The following is a 23,392-nucleotide window of genomic DNA, read 5'->3' as shown; positions in this document are numbered from 1 at the left end:
AATAAGTTGGAGACTCACAGGTTGTCGTTTACAGAGGAAGAGCTGGAGGTGCAGAGGAGGAGGGGATACACGGGGAGTTAGTGGCACAGAGGGCAGGAACCCAAGGCTCAGTCCCAGGGTTTCTCCACGTTTTGTATCCCCGTTTTTGGTACCAAGCAGAAGAGTACACTGATGTATCAGTGGGTAAAGACAATGAAAAAATTCCATGAAAACTGATACTAGAAACTAAGCAAAAAGCTAACTGCAAAGCAGCATGTTACTTTGATGCTGACAGCACCAGCTCAGAGTTATGATATGTAGACTTGGAACACAATTGCATGGAAATGCTCTATGAGTTTGGAAAAAGAATGCATCTTTCTTTAGCTAAGACACTCAAATAAGCTTGGCCACTAACTTTGCTTCATAGATATTGTCAAGCAACACTAGGTATAAACAATTAGGTTCATGTTTTTTCTTTAGGCGCTAGGACTTCTGTAGGTATGCAGTTTTTCTGCCAGGAGTCACTGTATAACATGCATGATACAGTGCATAATTATAACAGTAACTTTCCAAAAAGAATTCCTGAACTTCAAAATAGATTACCAGGTGATAGGAGTAAAATAACCAATAATCACTTATTATAAGTTGAACACATTATACTCTGATTTTTCCACTACTGAGTATAGGTTTAAAAGCCATACTTTATATAGCATTGAACTCCTTCCCCTGAGTATACCAGCTTATTGATTATCCTGGTTATTTCTCAAATTGCCATATGATTTCCTCTTGAAGAATTGAAATCTGTTCAGAGCAGAGACATTAAACAATTGACCTCAGGCAAAAGCAAGGAGGTGTCAGGTAAGGTTTCTCTTCTCTTGGAATAGAGAAGAGAAGGGATGAGGAATGAGCAGGGGAGGGGGTTTTAGGAGGAAGGAAGAGAGAGATGTGAACCTTGGCAGGGGCAAAATGAGATACACATTGACGCAAAGAAGGGAGCAGTAGACATGGGACTACTTGAGGGTGAAGGGTAGGAGGAGGGTTAGAATCAAAATACTACCCATCGGGTACTATGTTTCTTAACTGGGTGACAAAATATTCTGTAGGCTAAATCCCCATGACATGCAATTTACCCATGTAACAAACCTGCATACACACCCCTGAATCTAAAATAAAAGCTGGAAAGTAAAAAAACAGAGATACTATAAAGAAGAGTAAATGCTTTGTGTAAAATTGGCAAAAAAGTGAAAATGGCTTAAGATGATCCATTTTTTTTTTCTGGGATAGAAGTGTTAGAATGACAGTGTATTTGGGAGCAGTAGGTAACTATCAGAGCAGTCACAGGGTTTGAGGATGTGTGGAGAATTGTTTTTAAAACAAATAACAATTCTAAACCAAAGGAATAATTACCCATGGTTAAATAACCTACACTAATCAGTAGTGACCCCACTGTCCTACCACTCCCCAGTCTCAGTCTTGTGCCCCAGAAACAACCATATATAACTGTCTAAAAAGGTACTACTGTAACCGGGCGTGGTGGCTCATGCCTATAATACCAGCACGTTGGGAGGCCAAGGCGAATAGATCACGAAGTCAGGAGTTCAAGACCAGCCTGGCCAATACGGTGAAACCCCATCTCTACTAAAAATACAAAAAATAGCCGGGTGTGGCGGTGCGTGCCTGTAGTCCCAGCTACTTGGGAGACTGAGGCAGAAGAATCGCTTGAACCCGGGAGGCGGAGGTTGCAGTGAGCCGAGATGGTGCCACTGCACTCCAGCCTGGGCGACAGATGGAGACTCCGTCTCAAAAAAAAAAAAAAAAAAAAAAAAAAAAGGTACTACTGTTTCTAAATTCTTCCAGTAGTTTTTCACCATCTCTCTAAAGAATCTGTTGAAACGGCTACTTGTTGATGTTAATTTTAGACACTGTCTTCTGACCTCTTGCTTGATGGATGGGTGAGGACCCCCTCCTCTGAGCTCCAACTCCATCCCCTTCCTCTTTCTAATGCTTTTTAGTTCTCTGGCCTCTTCTGTGTAGGTTTATCCATATTTTTCCCTCCAGCAGTAGCACTCACCACACTATTAAGGGTCTGCTTACTGGTTTGACTCACCCACAGACTGTGAGTGAGGGGAGGAGGGTGCAGCGTGGAGCGGGAGGAGGGTTTCTGGGAGGAGATGCTGGAGGAGTTGATACCTAAGCTGAATCTTGATGGCAAAGGTGAGTATGAAAGAGGATGGTGGACTAGGAAGTGGAAACAATTCAACAGGGAGAGAAAGACAGATGTGAGGAGGCAAATGGTCCTTCACCCGCTGGCAGGGAATTTCAGCTTGCAGCAGAGAACAGGCATCAGCAGAGACAGAGTGGGGCCAAGATTACAGCAGGCACGGGCTTTCGGCAGTGCTACTAGAGCGTCTCACCGCTTGCCCTTGTCTCAGGAACACTTCTGCCTGCAACCTACCCAGGCTTGATCACAGGCATCCTGCCCACCACCACAATGGCACAGGTGACCACTGCCAGCCTGACTTTCTCAAGGGCTAAGTGGGACTACCTTGGAAGAATTGCATTTTTTTCTTTCATTAAGCCTCAAATGAAAGAGGAATGGTATTAAATGTCCACCTTAATGGAAAAAAATTAAATAATTATATCTAAAATTAAATAAAAATGAAATTTAGAAAACAAATTAGTGACACTTTAATGATACTAACAGATAATTATAATTCTCAAATAATTGTCCAAATACACTAGCATTAATGTGATGTGTAGGGGAGATTTTAAATTTTGTTTTCTTCCATTTACTGCCACTCTTATGCTAACAAGAATGGTATCATTTTCATATAATAACAAAATGCCTAATTCAATCATCTTGAACATTAATTGATATGTTTGCAGCTGAGTCTCCAGTTAATGACCTGTCTTTTCTGTTTAGTTTTGAGATTTAAGTCAGCTTCTCATCCAGACTTGCCTGGCAGCGTTCTATATCCATCTATGACCTTCATCTCATTTAACTGCAGCAAAGAAAATATTTTAGTAAAGCATTTTTTACTCTTGCACTTATTTAATATATTCATGTTTTCTGATTTATCTTTCCTTTTATAATTATATTTTAAAAGTTATATTAAGCATCCAGAGATAATGAAATAAATGTCTCCAATTTATGAACATAAATATGAACACTTTGTTCAAGATAGCTAAAGTCTTTTTTTCCTGCTTCGCCCCTTTCATTTACTCCTTCAAACTTATCTGAAGATTCTTCAATAGCTATAGTTAGCTGGAAACTTTTAACAGCTGTTGCTTATATTACGTTGAGAACCTTTCAAATTCCCAACAGGAACTTTTCTGAAAATCATTTATGCTCTACTTTATTCATCTAATTTCCACATCTAAACACATTCCTGGCTCTGCTAGATTTCTGCATCTCTTAGAATTGTTTAATCTGAATTGGATGAAAAAATTGAAGAGGTATAAAGACCTACTAAGGACAAAAACAAAACAAACTAGTTAATGATGGTGCTGAGGACCAGAATGTAGGCCAGTGGCTTTCCAAAGGGAATTTCTTACTATGCATGTAACTTTCAGAGAGTTCACTGAAGGCTGAGGCCTCCCCATTTTTTTTTTTTTTTACATTTTATTTCTTTCATTTGAGGAGGGGCTGATCCTTCTCATTCATTCAACGTTTACTGAGGACCTATGGTACGAGGACCTCTTAGCATACTAAGAGGATTCCACAGAAGAAAAGTAAAAGTGCAAACCTGCTTTCTGCTTTTATTCCTTTTTCACTGAACATTTAATATATGACTCGTGCCAAATAATAACTTAAGATCAACCATCTTGCTTGCTGGAAATGAATATTTTGCTGTTAATCATGTTGACTTCCTAATTTCATAAAACCACAAAAGGTAGTCATAGTAAACATACCACTCATTTGATTCTCCAGATAAAATAAAGAAGTTATTTTCTAAATAACTCAATAAGTAAAAATAGCTACAAAATGTCCTTTAGTCTCTCTTCCTGATTCAGGACTGCATCACCCTCTACCCAAAATCTATGTAATTTATTTTATATCATTTTTATGTTTCATTCCCCCATCTTCAACAACGATTATTATTTTTTCTTTGCATTGATTAGTCAAACATATAAATCAGAGGAAAATAAGACAAGCAGTTTTAAAGCACCTATATTCAATAGATTATTTTTCCTCCAAGTATAGCTGGATATTCTGTTTAACAACCTGTTATTGGAAAGGAGAGAACCTGTAACAATATAATACATCAGGTATAATATAATGAATACCAATGATAACAAAATCTAGAGTCAAAATGCTTATATGATAAATGTCTGTGACATTAGCATAAAATGACTCAAATATCAGTCAAGATTATGATGATCAATGAAAATAAAGGAATAATTCAAATGTCAAAATCCACAAATTCCTGATCCATTTTTAGGCTGGTCAGCATAGTGTGGTGGCTCTGGAAGTCAGAGTCAATTACCTAGAGTCAAATTCTAGCCCTGTCACTTAGTGGCTGTGTGAACTTGGGGAAGTCATTTACTTCCTCTGCACCTCAGTTTCCTCATATGTTGAGTAGGAATAATAATTCCTGAAAATTCGTACTGCTGCTATACTGTGCCAGGCACTGACCACTCTTATTGCTGTGACTGCTGGAATAAACTGCATGATCTTAGTTCTTTTCTTCTTTTTTTTTTTTTTTTTTTGAGACGGAGTCTTGCTCTGTTGCCTAGGCAGGTGTGCAGTCAGTGGCGCAATCTCGGCTCACTGCAACTTCCGCCTCCTGGGTTCAAGCAATTCTCCTGCCTCAGCCTCCTGAGTAGCTGGGATTACAGGCACGTATAACCATGCCCAGCTAATTTTTTTTTCTATTTTAGTAGAGACGGGGTTTCACCATTTTGGTCAGGCTGGTCTCGAACTCCTGACCTTGTGATCCACTCGCCTCGGCTTCCCAAAGTGCTGGGATTACAGGCACAATCTTAATTCTTTATTGTGCATCTTTCAAGACTAATCTGTAGGTTTTATATATTGCTTGACCTTTATCACCTGAAAATTCTGCTCCAGGTCCTACCAATCACACCTATCCACTTAAGAATTTTCAAACCAGGCTCCAGAGAACTGATTCTTCTTCTTTCATTCAGGGTATGAATGAAATGAGGGTAACCATTTGGGGTGGGGGCTGTTTTTCTAATACACATGGCCTCCCTAGCTCCTTCCCTGTCCTCTTTGCTTCCCCAACACCTTATCCCTTCTGTTAATTACATCTCCAGAAAGCAGGAATGCCTTTTATCAGCAGATAATCATTGATCTCAAAAGGATAAATATATACATATATATGGCAGGTGCAAAGACAATGGGCTAGAAAGCCTGCTTTCAGCTTCTTTGGGAATAAAAGGATATTTGCTATTTTTCTTTTTTCTATGAAAGCCCTTGCGTGACCTATTTTTCCTCTCTCCATTCAAAGTTAAGCCTGGAAATAATACATTTTATTTTTTAGTTAAAAAACAAGAATAGAAAAGAGCCTCATTTAGTAATGAAGGGAACGTAACCTTTATTCAATGCAAAGGGCAATGGATTCTATATTCATCTATGTGCCAAGCAGCCCTCTGAGCTTTAAAAACTAATTATAGGGGGAGATTGTGACTTTTCAGTCTTTTTGGCTCATGCCATATTCTATGGTACTCTAAAGTGCTAAATCAAGGCACTCTGTCAAGTCTACCACATTGGAATATCAATGAAGAGTGTCCTCTTCTACTTAACTTTGCTTTCGACTTCTAATTGGGATAGAGAATGTGACAGGTTAAAAGGAAAGAGTCAATCATATACCAAATAGACCTAAAAGTTACTTTTCTTTTGTTAAGGCAAATATAGTTTGTTTTTCAAGCCATCTCTACATGCAAAAACATGGATAAATCCTTTAGGCATAATGTTGAACAAAATAAATTGGATGCTATGATTAAATTTATATAAAATTCAAAGACAAGTAAATCTAAACTATGGGATGAAAGTGAGAATAGTGGTTACTTTGAGAGCAGGACTTTTTGGGATACTAGAAAAATTGTATATTTTGATCTGGGATGGTATATAATGAGATATAACATTACATTTAGTTATACACTTAAGATTACACTTTGCTTCATGTATTAAGAAATATACATTTAATTTGTTTTGCCTTCAAATTTAAGATAGAAAGTGATACAACTCAGTGAGCAAAATAAGAATAAAGAAAGCCAGGACCTTGATTCTAGCTTTTTTAAATCAGAAGCATGAAGGGTAAAAATTCATTTCTTTGGATCAGTATTCTCTTTTCTGGAATGAGGCTAGAAAGCATTCCCTTCAATTTAAGCTATTGAAGATACCTATAAGACTGATGGAAAATCCCATTGTCAAGCATAAAATACAATTAAGGAGTTACACAAAAATAAGCTGAGGAACAAGAAGAAAAAGATATTTAGTCATTTAAAATAATCTGTAAAGTTGGGAAAAAATAATTTTTCTTCCAGAAACTGCTTGTAGCGCAACTATTAAGGTTGACAGCTGTAGTTAGATGAGTATGCTTACGGAGAACGAGTGGGGACATGTTCACCCAGGCATCTTCAAAATCTGGCAGTGGGAAAATATTATGGTAATACTGTGAAAGAGTGGAGCCTTGTGGCCTGACCTTTATCCTAAGGTCAGTTTAATTATTTCTACTCAGGGCTCTAACCAATCGATCTCTCAATCATTCTTTACCTGTCTTGATAGAAAAAAAAACCCTCAAGTTACTCTCTACACTATAGTCATGACAACATGATGCAAATGAAGGGAAGAGAACAGGTAGAGGAAATAAAAATGTAAAAGCTTATCATTTATATCAGATGCAGGGGGAAAATATATTCAGCACAATAAAGGTTTTAGAAGAAAACATCTCTGTGACTTTGGTAAATCATAGATTTCTTAAATAGGATTCAAAATGTCTTGTCCATAAATAATAACAAATTAAATTTATTAAAACTTTAAAAAGTCTGTTTAGTAAAAGACACCATTAAGACAGTAAAAAAGGTGGCCTGTACAGTGGGAGAAGATCTGTTGGTCTATCTGTCTATCTCAAAGATGTTACATCCAGATATGCAAAGAACTCTTAAAAATCGCTACAGACAGACAAGCTAATTAAAATGGGCAATAGATTTGAACAAATATGTTACAAAAGAGGATATTCAAATGGCCAATAAATACGTGTGCATAAAAAAGTGTTCAAGTTCATTGTTCAAGAGATAAATGCATATTAAATGATAAAGAGATACCCTTACAAACCTACTGGGCTGGCTAAAATAAAAAAATAAGTGCTGGTGAGATATGGGGCAACTAGAACTCTCATACAACACTATAAGGGAGGCCGAGGTGGGCGGATCACAAGGTTCGAGACTAGCCTGGCCAATATGGTGAAACCCTGTCTCTACTAAAAATACAAAAATCAGCCAGGCGTTGTGGTGGGTGCCTGTAATCCCAGCTACTTGGGAGGCTGAGGCAGGAGAATCTCTTGAAACCAGAAGGTGGCAGTTGCAGTGGGCTGAGATTGCACCACTACGCTACAGCCTGGGCGAAGGGCGAAACTCTGTCTCAAAAAAAAAAAAAAAAAAAGTGTAAACTCTTACCACCACTTTGGAAAATTATTTGGCAGTGTATACTAACACTCAACATATGCATACTGTATTACCCAGAAATTCTACTCCTAGGATATACCCAACCAAAATGCACATATATGGTTATCAAAAAAAAAAACCCAGGATATTCACAATAGCACTATGTGAAATAGTTCCAAGAGCCCAGCAGAATGATGAATGTATGAATACACAATTACATGTACACACATACACACACACACATAGAAACACACATGTATAAATTTTTTTTTTTTTTTGAGACGGAGTCTCGCTCTGTCGCCCAGGCTTGAGTGCAGTGGTGCAATCTTGGCTCACTGCAAGCCTCGCCTCTTGGGTTCACACCATTCTCCTGCCTCAGCCTCCTGAGTAGCTGGGGACTACAGGCACCTGCCACCACACCCGGCTAATTTTTTTGTATTTTTAGTAGAGACGGGGTTTCACCGTGTTAGGCAAGATGGTCTCGATCTCCTGACCTCGTGATCCACCCGTCTCAGTTCTCCCAAAGTGCTGGGATTACAGGCATGAGCCACCGCGCCCGGCCATGTATAAATTTTTTAAAAACCTTGTTGTAGTGACATAATGAAATACAATATAGATTATGAAGTAGTGAGAACCTATATACAGCAATATGGATGAATCTTGCTCACATAATGTGGAAAATAAGAAGCCAGTCATAAAAATAAATATATATATATAATTGCATGATTCCATTTATATAAGGTCCAAAAATAGATTAAACTAGTCTAGTAGTTACAAGTCAGCAAGGGTAACTTTTGAAGAGGCAGGCAGTAACTAGAAAGAAGGAGGACGAGAAGGCACTTTGTTGCTATGTTCTTATTGCTAAAGTTCTGTTTCTTGATCTGAGTATTGTTTACAAAAGTGAACAGTGTAAAAATTGGCACAGTTGTGACTTTGATATGTGCACATTCTCATATATTTATTATGCTTCATTAAAAGTATGTATATATAATAAATAGATATCCAATAAAAAGCAAACTACAGGTAATGTAAGAAGAGATGAAAACTCTAAGAAAGAATCAAGAGCAAATGTTAGAAATAAAAAACACTGTAACAAAAATGAAGAATGCCTCTGATGGGCTCAGCAATAGACTGGATATGGCCAAGGAAAGAACTGGAGACACTGAAGAAATGTCAATAGAAACTTTCAAAACTGAACCAGAAAGAGAAAAGAAGAATAAAACAACAGAATATCTAAGAACTCTGAGATAGTTAAAAAACATACAATCCAAGAACTATAAGACAGTTTAAGAAGGTATAACATATGCATAATGGGAATATCAGAAGGAGAAGAAAGAGAAAAAGCAACAGAATAAATATTTGAAGCAATAGTAACTGAAAATTACTCCAAATCAATTAGAGATACCTCACTACACTACAGATCTGGGAGGCTCAGAAAACACCAAGCAGGATACACACCATAAATTCTACACCTAGGCATATCATATTCAAAGTATACAAAATCAAAGACAAAAAAAATCTTTAAAGAAACCAGAGGAAAAAAAATCCTATAGAGGAACAAGGATAAGAATTATATCAGACTTCTCTTCAGAAATCATGCAGACAAGAAGAGAGTGGAGTAAAATATTTAGTTGTTAAAAGAGAAAAAAAACAATCCTCAGTTGTGATGTTTAATTTTATATGTCAGCTTGACTGGGCTAAGAGATGCTCAGATAACTGGTTTAACATTTCTGGTGTGTCTGTGAGGGTGTTTCTAGAAGAGATTAGCATTTTAATCAGTAGACTTAGTAAAGAAGATCCTCCCTCACCAACATGGATGGGTATCATCCAATCCATTGAGGGCCTGAATAGAACAGAAAGGTGGAGATGGGTGAATTCATTCTCTGTATGCTAGAGCAGGACATCCATTTTCTCTTGTCCTCAGACACTGAAGCTCCTGGTTCTCAGGCCTTCAGACTCCATGACTTACACTAGCCCCACCCTCTAACCCTGTTCTCAGGGCTTTGGACTTGGAATAAATTACACCACTGACTTTCCTTGTTCTGCAGCTGGCAAATGGTGGATGGTGGATGTTCTTGGCCTCATAATTTAATGAGCCAATTCCTATAATCAGTCAATTAATCTATCTGTCTATCCCTCCCTCCATCCTATTAGGTCTGTTTCTCTGCAAAACCTTGACTAATACATCAGTCTAGATTTCTGTACCTAGTGAAATTATCCTTTAAGTGAAGAAAAAATAAACACTTTCTCAGACAAATAAGAACTGAAGGAATTTGCTGCCAGTAGATCTGTCTTGCAAGATGTGTCAAAAGAAGTTCTTCAGAGAGAAGAAAAATGATACAGATCAGAAACGTGGATCTACATTGAGAAAGGAAGAGCATTAGGGAAGGAATAAACAAAGGTAAAAATAAACCTTTTCTAATTCTTACTTGATCCAACAGTTTGTTCAAAATAATAACAATAACATTGTAGTCAATGATTCTAGCTTATGGATAAATGAAATCAATGACAGCAATGTTACAAAGGATAGGGAGGAAGAATTGGGAATACTCTGTTATAAGGTACTTACACTGCCTGTGTAGTGGTACAGTGTCATTGAAAGCAGACTTGGATTAGTTATAAATGTATACGATGAATGCAAGGTGTAAAAAAAAGAAGTATAACTAATATGGTAAAAGACAAGAAAAAATGGAACCATACAAAATAATTAAAACAAGAGAAGACAGAAAAGCACAAAAATATGTTGGACTTAATTAAAACTTCTCTGCAAAAGACATCGTGAAGAGAATGAAAGGGCAAACTACAGGCTGGGAGAAAATCTTTGCAAAATACTTATCAGATGAAGGACTGCTACCCAAAATATACATATAACTCTTAAAACTGAACAAGAACACCCATAACCCAATTAAAATGTAGGCAAAAGATTTGAATAAACACTTCACCAAAGATATAGAGACAGCAAATAGCATATGAAAAGATGTTCAACATCACATGTCATTAGGAAATTGCAAATTAATACAATGAGATATCTCTACACATTCATAAGAATGGCTAAAATCCAAAACACTGACAGCATCAAATGTTGGCAAGAATGTGGAGAAACAGGAGCTCTTGTTCCTTGCTGGTAGGAATGTGAAATGATACAACCACTTTGGAATACATTTTGGCAGTTTCTTATACAACTAAACATATTTTGCCCTTATGATCCAGCAATCACATTCTTTGGTATTTACTCAAATGAGTTAAAAACCTGCATCCACATAAAAACCAGCACACAAATTATTTACAGCACCTTTGTTCATAACTGCCAAAACTTGAAAGCAACTAAGATATCCTTCAATAGATGAGTGAATAGAGTGGTACACCTATGAAATGGAACATAATTCAGAGATAAAAAAGAAATGAGCAATAATACCACAAAATAAAAAAACCATGGAGGAAACTTAAATGCACATTGCTAAGCAAAATAAGTCATTCTCAAGAGGAAACATACTGTATGATTTCAAGTATATAACATTCTGCAAAAGACGAAACTATGGAGACAATAAAAAGATCAGTGGTTGCCAGGGGTTCAGGCTGTTGAGGGAGGGAGGGATGAATAGGAGGAACACAGGAAGTTTTTAGGGCAGCAAAATTATTATTCTGCATAATACTATAATGGTGGATGTATTCCTTATACATGTGTCAAAACCGATATATTTAGAATATGAAGAGTGATCCTTAATGTAAACTACAGACTTTAGTCATTAATATTGTATCAGTATTAGCTCATCAATTATAACAAATACACCACATGAATGCAAGATGTTAAAAACAGAGGAAATGGTTGGGGGAGGTGTAAGGGGATCTATGGCAACTCTGTACTTTTTGTTCAAGTTTTTCTGTAAACCTAAAATTGCTCCTTCAAAAAATAAAGGTGGGGAGAGAGACAGTTTTCTTATATAATTAACTAGCTAACAAGTTTCTTTCAGATACTGTGAATAATAAGGAAGAAAAACATAAACAGGAAGAATTTAGGTTAAATTACACATGCACTTTCAAGAATCATGGTTTTGAGAAAGTTTAACATGATGCTACAGAAAATTTTCATAATAAAAAGTTCATAAAAATATGGCACTGTAGTGTATGATTATAGGTTAACTTTGTGAGCAGTAAAGATTTGTCTACAGTTGCACAATTTGAGAGAGATAAGAACACAGTTCTGTGATGAATGAAAACATGGGCCCTTATTCCTTTTATTCCTCTTCTAGTCTTTGTTTCTTTAAAATGCTTTTATTTTATTTTTACCACTTATTCATTCACTTAGGCAAAAGAAGATAATATTAATCCCAACTTTGATGTGACAAAGTATTACCACCATTGTTTTTCTACTTTACACAGCTCTATAAGTGACAGAGGTGAAAATGTTTCACTGTGGCAAGCCAGCCATATGGAAATGAGTAGCTTCATCAAATTAGGCCACACTTTCATGGCTAAGTAAATAATTTAAATTGAACAAAGGCAAATGTTGAGTGATAAAGTTAAAAGAAAGACTCTACTTTTGTTGAAACATAGAAAACAATCACGGATAATACAATGTATGTGAACACACACACAGGAAGCACATTTGTATTTTCCAGAAAGTCCAACTGACAGTTCTATGGACTGGAGAACATGTTAAGAACAATCATAACATATTCTGTATGGACAGAAACATATTCTGTATGGACAGAAATTTATCTTACTCTCATGTTTGAAAGGGTATGGCCCATATGGGGGCTACAAACAACTTTGCTGAGTGAATGAATCACTGAATTCTATTTTTCCTCTAAGAGGAAAGAAGAACCTATAAATTAAAAGATATTTTAGGCCGGGTGTGGTGGCTCATGCCTGTAATCCCAGCACTTTGGGAGGCCGAGGCAGGTGGATCATTAGGTCAGGATATCGAGACCATCCTGGCTAACACTGTGAAACCCCGTCTCTACTAAAAATAAAAAATTAGCCGGGCGTGGTGGTGGGCACCGGTAGTCCCAGCTACTTGGGAGGCTGAGGCAGGAGAATGGCGTGAACCCAGGAGGTGGAGTTTGCAGTGAGCCGAGATTGCGCCACTGTACTCCAGCCTGGGAGACAGAGTGAGACTCTGTCTCAAAAAAAAAAAAAAAGATATTTTAATCCAATTTAGCAATGTTCCAAATTTGACTCACATTAATTTTTTTCCTTCTAAAGTTTTGAGCTCAAGGCACACTTGCATGGGAAATGAGGTGAGACAGGAGGAAAACATATTTTACTAAGTTCAAGTAATTGCTGCTTGATTTTTAGAATTTGCCTAAATTTCATGTAAAAAAATATTAGCTAAACAGATGTGCTTCCTCCCTATGTTTAGGACAACTTAGAAAATGGACCTTTTACCTTATGAAATCTTCTTCCTCCTCTCTTTTTGGCCTCAGCTGTTTGGGTTGAGCCATATTCATCCAGTTTGGTAGAGATTTCAAGAGTCTGCTGATATCATCATCTTTTGCCCAGGATGCACTGATGACAAGTTTTTCTTCTGACTGGACAATACCCCTAAACACAGCCAATAGAAAAGAGACACTGTAGCATGATGCCTGGTATTCAGTTAGCATTTTCATCTACCTTTGCTGCAGGAAAAAAGAAATCACACTCATCTCTCCTTTGAACATAATCCATTATCTAAGTTGGAGTCCATGATACCCATTAATAGGTCACATTACTGGGAAACAACATTTCTAGATTTCATTCTTAGTTTCTTAGTTGTTGAGTAATCGTGACAGTTGAAAAAACTAATTAGCTCCTCTTACCATATTTGATCCCTTAGGATAAATAAAAGCATATGGTATGTTTTGGGGGGGACCTTTTAAGAAAATGTTGAATAAAAAGTGGGATAACCATGTAAAAGAATGCTATTAAGTGACAACATAACTAGTACCTGAAAGGTGACGGAAGTGTTACAAAAGGTTGTACTCTGGACTCCTTGGTTTAAACTATCAATTAGTTCTAGTTGAGGGTATTGCTTGAATCATGGACACCCCTCTCTTCACAGCCAATATACCATCATTAAGAAACCCTCAGCCCCAGTTGTCAGGCAGAAAAAGCCTTTGATTACTGCCATCTCCAGTGGGCTCTGACTAGTGACCTAGAGCTGACAGGCTTCAAGTCTTTTCATAGGGCCCATGGGTTAGCTATTAACACTGCTCTTACCAGAATGTTACCTGTAAATTCATCTTAAATGTTCAATTTCAACTTAATTAAAAAGCTTTTCTTTCGGTTCAACATGTGTCACTGTAACTAATTTCAACGATCTAAATATCCTCGTCAGCAATACTAGGTGACAGAAATGACATTTATTTATGAAAGGAGTGCCAATTAGCTGCTTCTCCTCTGGGGCTGACCAAGACTCCAGGAGATTGCCCCATCATAGGCAGGAATCTCTTTTAGTACAGGGGTCACTCTGGGGGGCATTATGCACTTGCAAATAAACAATATATATGGCATGTATGTATGATACCTCCTTGACCCAACAGACAATTAATGTTTGTAGACAAAAGAAGATGGAGCCTAGGCCAGATGCAGTGGTTCACATCTATGACTGCAGCACTTTGGCAGACTGAGGCAGGAGGATTGCTTGAGGCCAGGAGTTCAAGACTGGCCTCGGCAACACAGATTGACCTTCTCTACAAAACAAAAACAAAAAGTTGAAGCCTACAAACCTTGATTCATGACAGACTGACTTAAGGTAACATAGTTTCATGTTGTAGGGCAGGGGTCCCCAACCCCTGGGCCACGGACTGGTCCTGGTCCATGGCCTGTTAGGAACTGGGCGGCACAGCAGGAGGTGAGCAGCGGGCCAGTGAGCGTTACTACCTGAGCTCTACCTCCTGCCAGATCAGCGGTAGCATTAGAGTCTCACAGGAGCGCAAATTCTATTGTGAACCGCGCATGCGAGGGATCTAGATCACATGCTCCTTACGAGAAACTAACTAATGTCTTATGATCTGAGGTGGAACAGTTACATCCTGAAACCATCCCATCCCCTTTTTCTCACCCAAAACATCACCCCAGTCCCTGGTGCCAAAAAGGTTGGGGACCACTGTTGTAGGGAACAATATTACCCTGGTTCTTTTAAAATAAACTAGAATAAATAAGAGAGCTATTTATTTGCTCTCTTATTCTTCTAAAGTTTTGAGCTCAAGGCACACTTGCATGGGAAATGAGGTGAGGCAGGAGGAAAACAGATTCTAGAATTCTTCTAATTCACTATAAGCAAATGTTTTCTCATAGTAACCATGGTCAGAGACACAAAAATTGGATTACAGAAACTTCTTCCCTCCAATCTCTCATATTACTTTCTTACTACTATTTTCTATTCCCTCTTTTGTTATTTCCTTGCATCTTTTCTGTAATATTTATGGACTAATCCAACAATCTAACTTTTACAATCTTATACTTGCATTGCTAGGTGCAATCTTATAGCATGGTACCACCTCAGATAAGAGACTGTTGCAGGTGTACCCCTCAATGTTCTCTGACATTCTTTATACCTGTCTCTGATCAGGTTCATCTCCCCATTTATCTTAGTAGCTATTTCTTTAAAAAAACATTTGCCCTTTCTGTATCTCCTCATTGCTTACCGCCCATATCCTTCTTATCTGACAGAGAAGGAAGGGATCTAATTACATACTTTCAAATATTTGACCTCCTACCCCCAACAGAAATATGTTCAAATCTGCTTCATCCTCATTAATTTCCAGTAATTCCTCTAGTTAGGCTCTTGGGGATCTTTTCTCCCCGACCTATCTCCCCTTTTTCCTGTATTTTTACTCTTTCCACTATATATTCCCTAATCCTCTGTTATTTTAAAAATGAATGAATGAATGAATGAATGAATGAATGAATCTCTTCCCTGCATTCCTCTCTAACAAAGCTGCTCCCTCTCCTTCAAAGGCAATCATCAAAGGAGCAGCCTGCACTAATTGACTTCACTGTCTCACCTCTCATTCATGAAATCTCTCTCCAAGGTCTACTTTACGATTTAACCCATCTACTGCTTTTTGAAAAATTTGCAGTTATTATATTTTTCATTTCTAGATTTTCTATTTGCCTCTTTTACAAATCTACTGGCTTTTCCCTTCCAAACTGTCCTGCTCTTGTATCATGGAATCTGTTCTTTTCTTTATCTCCTTGAATGTTTTAGAAATCCACAATTTTTAAGTTCCTTCTATGAAGTGGCTTTATATTCTTTGGTAGTTCTTGTAGATGTCAAGTGTCCTGTTTGTTGCATTTGCCTTCTTTTCTCATGATGGTGTATTTCCTCATGTGGTCTGCTACTTTGTTCTGGAAGCTCTACTTCAATGGAACTTATCCTCTGTAGGAATCTTGCATTTGCCCAGAATTTTCAAGATATCACTGTTACGTAGTCTGCATTTGCCTCTTCTGGGTCCTATGAGTTACACTGGTTCCAAATAGGTTTGTAATTTTTTTTTCCTTTTTTTTTATTTTTTATTTTTGGCTTAAGGCTTTTTCTCCCTACGCAGGTAGTACAAATTGAGTTCTTACTTGCACATATCACATGAGGTGTGGGATTCTGATTTCTTTTAGGGGCTACTTTTCTACTCCAGGTTGGGTAGCTCCTTCTTAAGTCCCAAGTTTTCTTGGTTCCATTCATGAATGAACTAAGAAATATGAATGAAACAGTTCTTTGCATAACTTCTGCACAGATAAAGCTCCCTCCCTGCCTGGAAGATGTCAAGATGCTAGCCTCTATTTGACCTCTATATGTGGTCCTGAAACCTCTGTAGCCCACTCAACTTCCACATTTGTCTGTTTCTGGCTTTTAATTCCTCTTTCATTCATGGCATCTGGAGAATTCTCTTTCATCCTTTTGAGTTTGGTTACATATTTAAAATATTTTTAAAGTTATAATTTTTTTATCCAGAATTTCTACAAGTTAGAAACAAGAAAAGGGCTTTTTAAATCTATTCGCACCAAACTTCTGACAGGAAATCAAAATCCAGTCTTAAATCAACTGCAGTCAGGGTTCTAGAACCATTACTCCACTGAAATTGCTCCACCAACCCAAGAGCACTTTTTATTTTATTCTTCGCACTCTTTGACTATTCTAAAGCATCCAACACTTTTGATTACTCTCTTCTTGAAATACTATTCTTTTGCTTTCCGCATCACGTTCTTTACCTACCATCCTAACCTTTCTTAGCCAAACTGATGGCTCTTTTTCTCCATCCATACTTTAAATGCTGTGTTCCACAGAATTCTGCATTGCTGACTTGGGCAGTCTCATCTTCTTGCACAGCTTGAACCATCTATATTCTGATGACTCTGAAATTATTATCTCTAGGGCAGCCCTCTCTTCTAAGTTTCCAGTCTGCATATCCAAAGGCTTACTGTAGAACTCTACTTGAAAGTTCCATCTGCATTTCAAGTTAAAATGAGTCAAGAGGAACTCAATTTACTAACTACTTCTCTCTCTCTCTCTCTACCACTGAGCATCTAATGTTCCCTATTCAAGCCATCCTGTTATTCAACTCAGGAATGCAGAGTCATCCTAATTACCCAGTCACCACATCCTGCCAATTCTATCTCCTTAATATCTTAATAAATCTGTCATTTCCTGTCCAGGTTCACTGCTATTAACCTATATTTAAACCCTCATCTTTTTTCACCTGGACTTGGCAATAACCTTGTAACTGGGCTTCTCGCCTGCAGCTACAAGACCATCAGTTGAACTCACCACATCAGTCAGATGAGTCATTTTTCTAAACTACACATCCAATCATGTTATAACCCTTCCTACAAGTCTTCAGTGACTTCTAATTCCAGGTAAGACCAAGGCTAGACTTAGCAAGGCATGAACATCTATCTTTTCAGCTTTATCTCCTGCTATTCCTTTTCTCCTTTGTGTCTGTTCACGATTCCTAGCCAATCTCTTGCCCATGCTGGTTGAACACACTACCCATGATGAGTATTCCAAAGTTTTCCAAATGGGATCTATTATTTCCTGTTTCTGTGTGTCATCTCAGCCTAGAAAGCCTTTTTCTCATCCTCCTTGTTTGCCTCTACTTGTCAAGCATTGCCCCAGCTCCTCCCTTGGTACATCTGAGTCCTCTTTTTTTGTGCCTCATCACCCCTATACCAGAGGTTTTCAACCTTGACTAAAGATTAGAATCACTTGGGCAAGCTATTTTAAAAACCAGATGCCCAAGCCATACCCAAGACCAAGTAAATCACAATCTCTGGGCTGCGGGACCCAAGCAACAGAAATTTTTGGAGTTTCCCATGTGATTTAAATGTGCACTCAAGGGCCACAACCTTTGCGTTTGCCAACGTCTATTTTAACTGGTCCTACTACACTTTTTTGCAAGCTGGAATCCCATATTGGATGATGAGTTCTATGAGGACAGAGTCGATTTCTTCTTAGTTTTTCTGTCCCTAGTGCCTACCACAATACCTGGTATTTAGAAGGCATATAAGAACTGAAGTAGAGATAAAAAGAAGCCCTCTTCAATTTCAAAAGTCTAGATAACTTATTACACTAAAAGCATCTTAATGGTTTCCGTTTTATTCTCTGCTCTAAACAACTTTGATGAGCTGTCAAGTCATTTGGTATTTAACCAAATCAAAGATCACTCTGTGCCATGCCCTTCACCATGCCTCTCTGGATTCAATACAAATCAGGTAATGAATACAGGTGTGTCCCTCTTTGAAAAACCCCAATGTAAAATAGTCCTGACTCATAAAACAAATGAACCAAAGAGCGATTATTGACAAGCCTTTCCCTTCTACGCTACTTATTCCTAGGTGGCCTATTATTGGAAAGTCTCCTCAAAAACTCACTTTCTCTGTGAAGAATTTGTTGACTATGTCAGCCTACAATGATCTCTCCCTTTGGAAACAAAACAAACAAAACCCCTCCTTTTGCACTTATCCATAACTTCCCAATTAGCACTCTGTCTAATACAATGGGGTGGGCAAACCATGACCTGTGGGCCAAACCTACCCATCAGCTGTCTTTGTATGTCCTGTAAGCTAACAATGGTGTTGACATTTTAAAATGGTTTTTAAAAAACTAAAAGAACAATATTTTGTGACATGTGGAAATTATACAAAATTTCAATTTCACCATTCATATCTAGAAAGAATCTTGGCTGTGGGAGATTTCACCATTCATATCTAGAAAGAATCTTGGCTGTGGGAGATTTCACCACTCATATCTAGAAAGAATCTTGGCTGTGTGGTTCAATTCCTCTTAGACCCACACTATAGGTCAAATTCTGTTCCACAGAGTGAGAAGCCCAAGCCCAACTCATTTTGTCAGCATCTACGTCTTTGAGCGCATCCATGCTGGCCCATATCTGCCCTCAGGTTCAGGAAATAGTTGGATCTGTAGGTGTGAGATGGTACCGTACATTTTGAAGGGCTAGAATTTTCCATTTTAGCATTAGCTGAAATAAAAAAATTAGGTTAGGTTGGATGACATTAAAGGTACCCACATTATTTACTTACATATTTTTAAAGGACTGGATTAATTCAGTAATTCAAGATTACATTATCTCTAATATGCATCGATCCCATTTTATTAAAAAATAGTCATCCAAATGAATGAAAAGGCTACTAACATACTGCCCTCAACAATAAATATGTTAGTACATTTGGAATGAACACCAATCCCAAAAGTAATTCCAAATATTCTAATTTGAAATACTGGCATTGATCAGCAATAAACAATTACCCTAAAGAAAATTTTTTACTCAAGTGGCAAGTCCACCCTGACTAATTGCATTTATTTGTTTTTGATTTTCTGGTAAACCAGATCATGTGGGTTACAGAATTCCAGGACATATCCAAATAGCCTCAAAAAAGGAGAGCTACATGTCCAAAAATTATTCCATAGGAGAAGCAAGGTTAATCATCCCTACCAGAACCATAATGTACTCATTAATTCACAGCTCAATGAGCCACAGACAGAGCCAACTGTGTAACTATTTGTATCTGTTTCCAAGAGGAAGAGGAAAATAGGTGTACCTTTTGGTACAGGTGATGAGGCTGCCAAGAGAAAGGTCCACCCTCGAGATACAGCTGAGTGAATTTCATTCAGAAAACATCTGCTGGTGTCGCCTGGCTCTGATGTGTACCGCTTCCTCTCTGGAACAGTTGGGAAGTGCGAGTGTGCATGGTCCCTGGACACAGCTGGGGTGCTGAGTCTTTCATTAGGTAAACAACCAGGTGCAGGTGGGGCTAATTGGATTCAATTGTTTGGTGACAGCCAGGGCATGATGTGTACTTTCCCAGACTGAATCTTTCAAGATACTTCAAAAACTAGGAGCCAAGCTCAACAAATGAACCTTGGACAAGACTGGTCCAAAGTAAAGTGCCGTCGTCCAATTTAGACTGTGAATGACTGGACCTGCAGCAGACGAAACCGCAGTGAAATGTCCAGCAACACAAGTGATAATGACAATTAGGGATGCAAAGATAATAGTATTATGCTGCCAAATAAAACAAAACAAACACAAAAACAAAACCAAAAAGTCAGTTAAGATGGAGCAACACACATAGGAAAAGAGGAAAGAAACATCAGAACATCTTTGACACCATACTCAATGCTGGTCAGAGAGCTTTATGATAGTGTATATGTCTACCTGAGAATGACAACTTCTGATAACTCTGGAGAAGGCCCATGGAAAACAGAAACCATCCAAGAGGACCAAGGGAAAAAGGCTTTGCAATGACAGTTTACAGAAGGTAACTCTTGGGGATAATTTAGTAACAACCTTTAAATAGACAAGTTCTCATATGAAGGATCATAACTGTTTGACACTTAAAAGATCAAGAAGAAAAAAATTATACTGTAACACAGGAAGTGGACCAAGAATTCATATAAAATCTGTCTCAGCTGGACGCAGTGGTTGACGCCTGTAATCCCAGCACTTTGGGAGGCCGAGATGGGTGGATCACCTGAGGTCAGGAGTTTGAGACCAGCCTGGCCAACATGGCGAAACCCTGTCTCTACTAAAAATACAAATTAGCTGAGTGTGGTGGCACATGCCTGTGATCCCAGTTACTTGGGAGGTTGAGGCAGGAGAATTGCTTGAACCTGGGAGGCAGAGGTTGCAGAGAGCCAAGGTCACGCCATTGCATTCCAGCCTGGGCAACAAGAGCAAAACTCCTCAAAAAAAAAAAAAAAAAAAAAAAATCTGTCTCAACCGTCAATGTTCAGATTTTTCTTATAATAAAGCAAATTTAAATATAGTCTGTGTTTGAATATCATTAAGATCTTTATAAGTAGATCTCAGATCAGATGACTCCCTATTTAAACCTTGCATGTCTTCCCACTGAACTGAGAATAAAATTCAAATTCTCTAGCCTCAAGATCCTTTATCAATGGTTCTTAATCCTGACTGCACATGAAAACACCTGGGAAGCATTTTAAAAATACATCAGTTTCACAGTCTGAAGTGGGGCTCAGTCTGGCTATGTTTTAAGCTCCCATGTGATTCTCATGTGCAGCCAGAAATGACCCAAATGATCCGACCCCTCTACCTGTCTAATGTCACTCAGTATTCATTCTCTTTGCTCATTAACCTGAATTCAAGCTAGTTCCCATCTTCGGACTTGCTCCTTTCTCCACCTGGAGTGCTCTTTCCCACATTTCCACATGGCTCCTTCTCATCCTTTAGAACTGAGCTCAAATGCCACGTCCTCTGCGGCGTCTTCCCTGAACCTACTCTCCTCACTTGAACCTGTTGTTTTGTTTAATCACATCATCCTTATTAATGAGAAATTTATTGTTTATTTCCACTTGATTATTATCTAGCTCCCTCCATTAAGGTGTAAAATCCACGAAAGCAAGGACCTTACCTAGTCAATTCACTTCTTCACCTTTAGCCCTAGAATAACGCTGGCTCCTAGAAGTGCTTAATAAATGATTTTTGAATGAGTAACAGATTGAAGGAATGAATGACATAACTGAAGCACAAAACGCCAGGAAAATAACAAACGACATAAAAATATCTTTCTGGACCACACACCGCATGTTCTCACTCATAAGTGGGAGTTGAACAATGAGAACACATGGACACATGGAGGGGAACATGACACACTGGGGCCTGTCGGGAGTTAGGGGGCTAGGGGAGGGAGAGCGTTAGGAGAAATACCTAATGTAGATGACAGGATGATGGGTGCAGCACACCACCACGGCCCGTGTATACTGATGTAATAAACCTGCATGTTCTGCACATGTAGCCCAGCACTTAAAGTATGATAATAAAAAAATTAAAAAAACTTTCTTGTACTGTCTTCTTATTGAATATCAATAATATCATCAATGAATTAATTTAAAAGTCAATAATACAAAACACCAATTGCAGCAACAATAAATAATTGTATTGGCTGACAATTTAACCTTTTCCATGAGCTATGCATTCTTCTGAGCATTTGGCATATATAAACTTTTAATCCTCACAACCACCCTGCGTGGTAGGTACTATTATTACTTCCATTTGATAGGCGAAATACAGAGGCACAGAAGGCTGGGAACTGGATGGTGGTCAGCCAACTAGCAAGGTAGAACCTGAAATGAACCCAGACCCGCTGTTCTGCAGTCTATTTTCCTAGTCATTACACTGTCTCTCTAAAGCATGTGAAGCATTTTTCAGGTTTCCTATTTCCTCTTTAATTCCATTGCCTCTTCTTTGGGCTGAAGACTGAGACAGAGCTAGTGCTTTTCACATGTGCACTACCACTTTATGCTCTGTGGCCTTTGCCACGTTATTAACTTTCCTGAACCTCTGTTTCTTCATCTGAAAGGCAGAGAATCTAATTCAACAGAATTGTTGTGACTGACTAGATGAGCTGTGACCATAAAGTCCCTTGCACAGAGACTATGTATTAATACTTTACTGAGTATTTTCTTTCCAGTCTAGGTCCTTGTTACTTTGTGTCAAGGTCACTGCAACAGACTCCTATCTGATTATGGTAGAGTGAGTTGGGTAGGAGAAATGAGGACTGGCTGCTTGCTACAGAATTTGTAGGACAACTGGTTAGGTGGGCAGCATCTGTATTTGGCCAGAAGGGCAACTGATATGTACTGGAAAGGATGAGTGAAGGGATTCACTTGATCAAAAAACAAGAGTGCAAGGCCTATACAGAGACACCATGCAAGATACTGCAGACAGGTGTGTGGAAAATGACATAATAACTTCTGGAAGCTAAGAGTTCAGAGCAGTGATTTCTCCCTCCCTCCCTCCTTCCCCTCCTTCTTTCTCTCTCCTTCTCCTCCTCTTCCTCCTCCTCCTCCTTCTTCTCTCTCTTTCTTTCCAGACCGAGTCCTCACTGCAACCTCTGCCTCCCAGGTTCAAGCGATTCTCCTGCCTCAGCCTCCTGAGTAGAAGGGATTACAGGAACCTGCCACCATGCCCAGCTAATATTTGTATATTTAGTAGAGATGGGGTTTTACCATGTTGGCCAGGCTGGTCTCGAAATCCTGACCTCAAGGTGATCCACCCACCTAGGCCACCCAAAGTGCTGAGATTACAGGTGTGAGCCACCCTGCCTGCCTGGCCCAGATCAGTGATTTCTAACCAGTAACACATGACAATCACTTTGAGGATATTTTTAAACTAAACTTGCCCGGGCCCAACTCTCAGTGGACCTAGTATGGAAAACCCAGGATGTATGTTTTGAAGTTTCCCCAAATAACCTTGATGTGAAGCTACAATTGAAAAACAATATTTTTTTTAAAGAAAGACAGTTAAACCAATAACTAATGAAATAA

At 38.4% G+C, this 23,392-nt stretch overlaps 1 protein-coding gene across 10 annotated transcripts in view; it reads right to left on the bottom strand.

The window, feature by feature from the left end:
• The window catches only part of EXOC4 (exocyst complex component 4), an 847,874-nt gene that overhangs the window by 170,220 nt on the left and 654,262 nt on the right, over nt 1-23,392 (bottom strand). For all 10 annotated transcript variants that reach the window (XR_007060126.1, XR_007060125.1, XR_007060123.1 and 7 more), the window contains one exon: nt 12,994-13,149. Coding sequence is in view for 2 of the 10 variants with exons in the window: in NM_021807.4 (NP_068579.3) it covers nt 12,994-13,149 (156 nt within the window). In the remaining 8 variants the exon portion in view is untranslated. The remainder of the gene's footprint in view (nt 1-12,993; nt 13,150-23,392) is intronic.

The sequence above is a fragment of the Homo sapiens genome, chromosome 7, assembly GCF_000001405.40.
Source record: "Homo sapiens chromosome 7, GRCh38.p14 Primary Assembly".
NCBI lineage: Eukaryota > Metazoa > Chordata > Mammalia > Primates > Hominidae > Homo > Homo sapiens.
The sequence above is the reverse complement of the archived record's forward strand: the minus strand, read 5'-3'. Positions and strand labels throughout refer to the sequence as shown.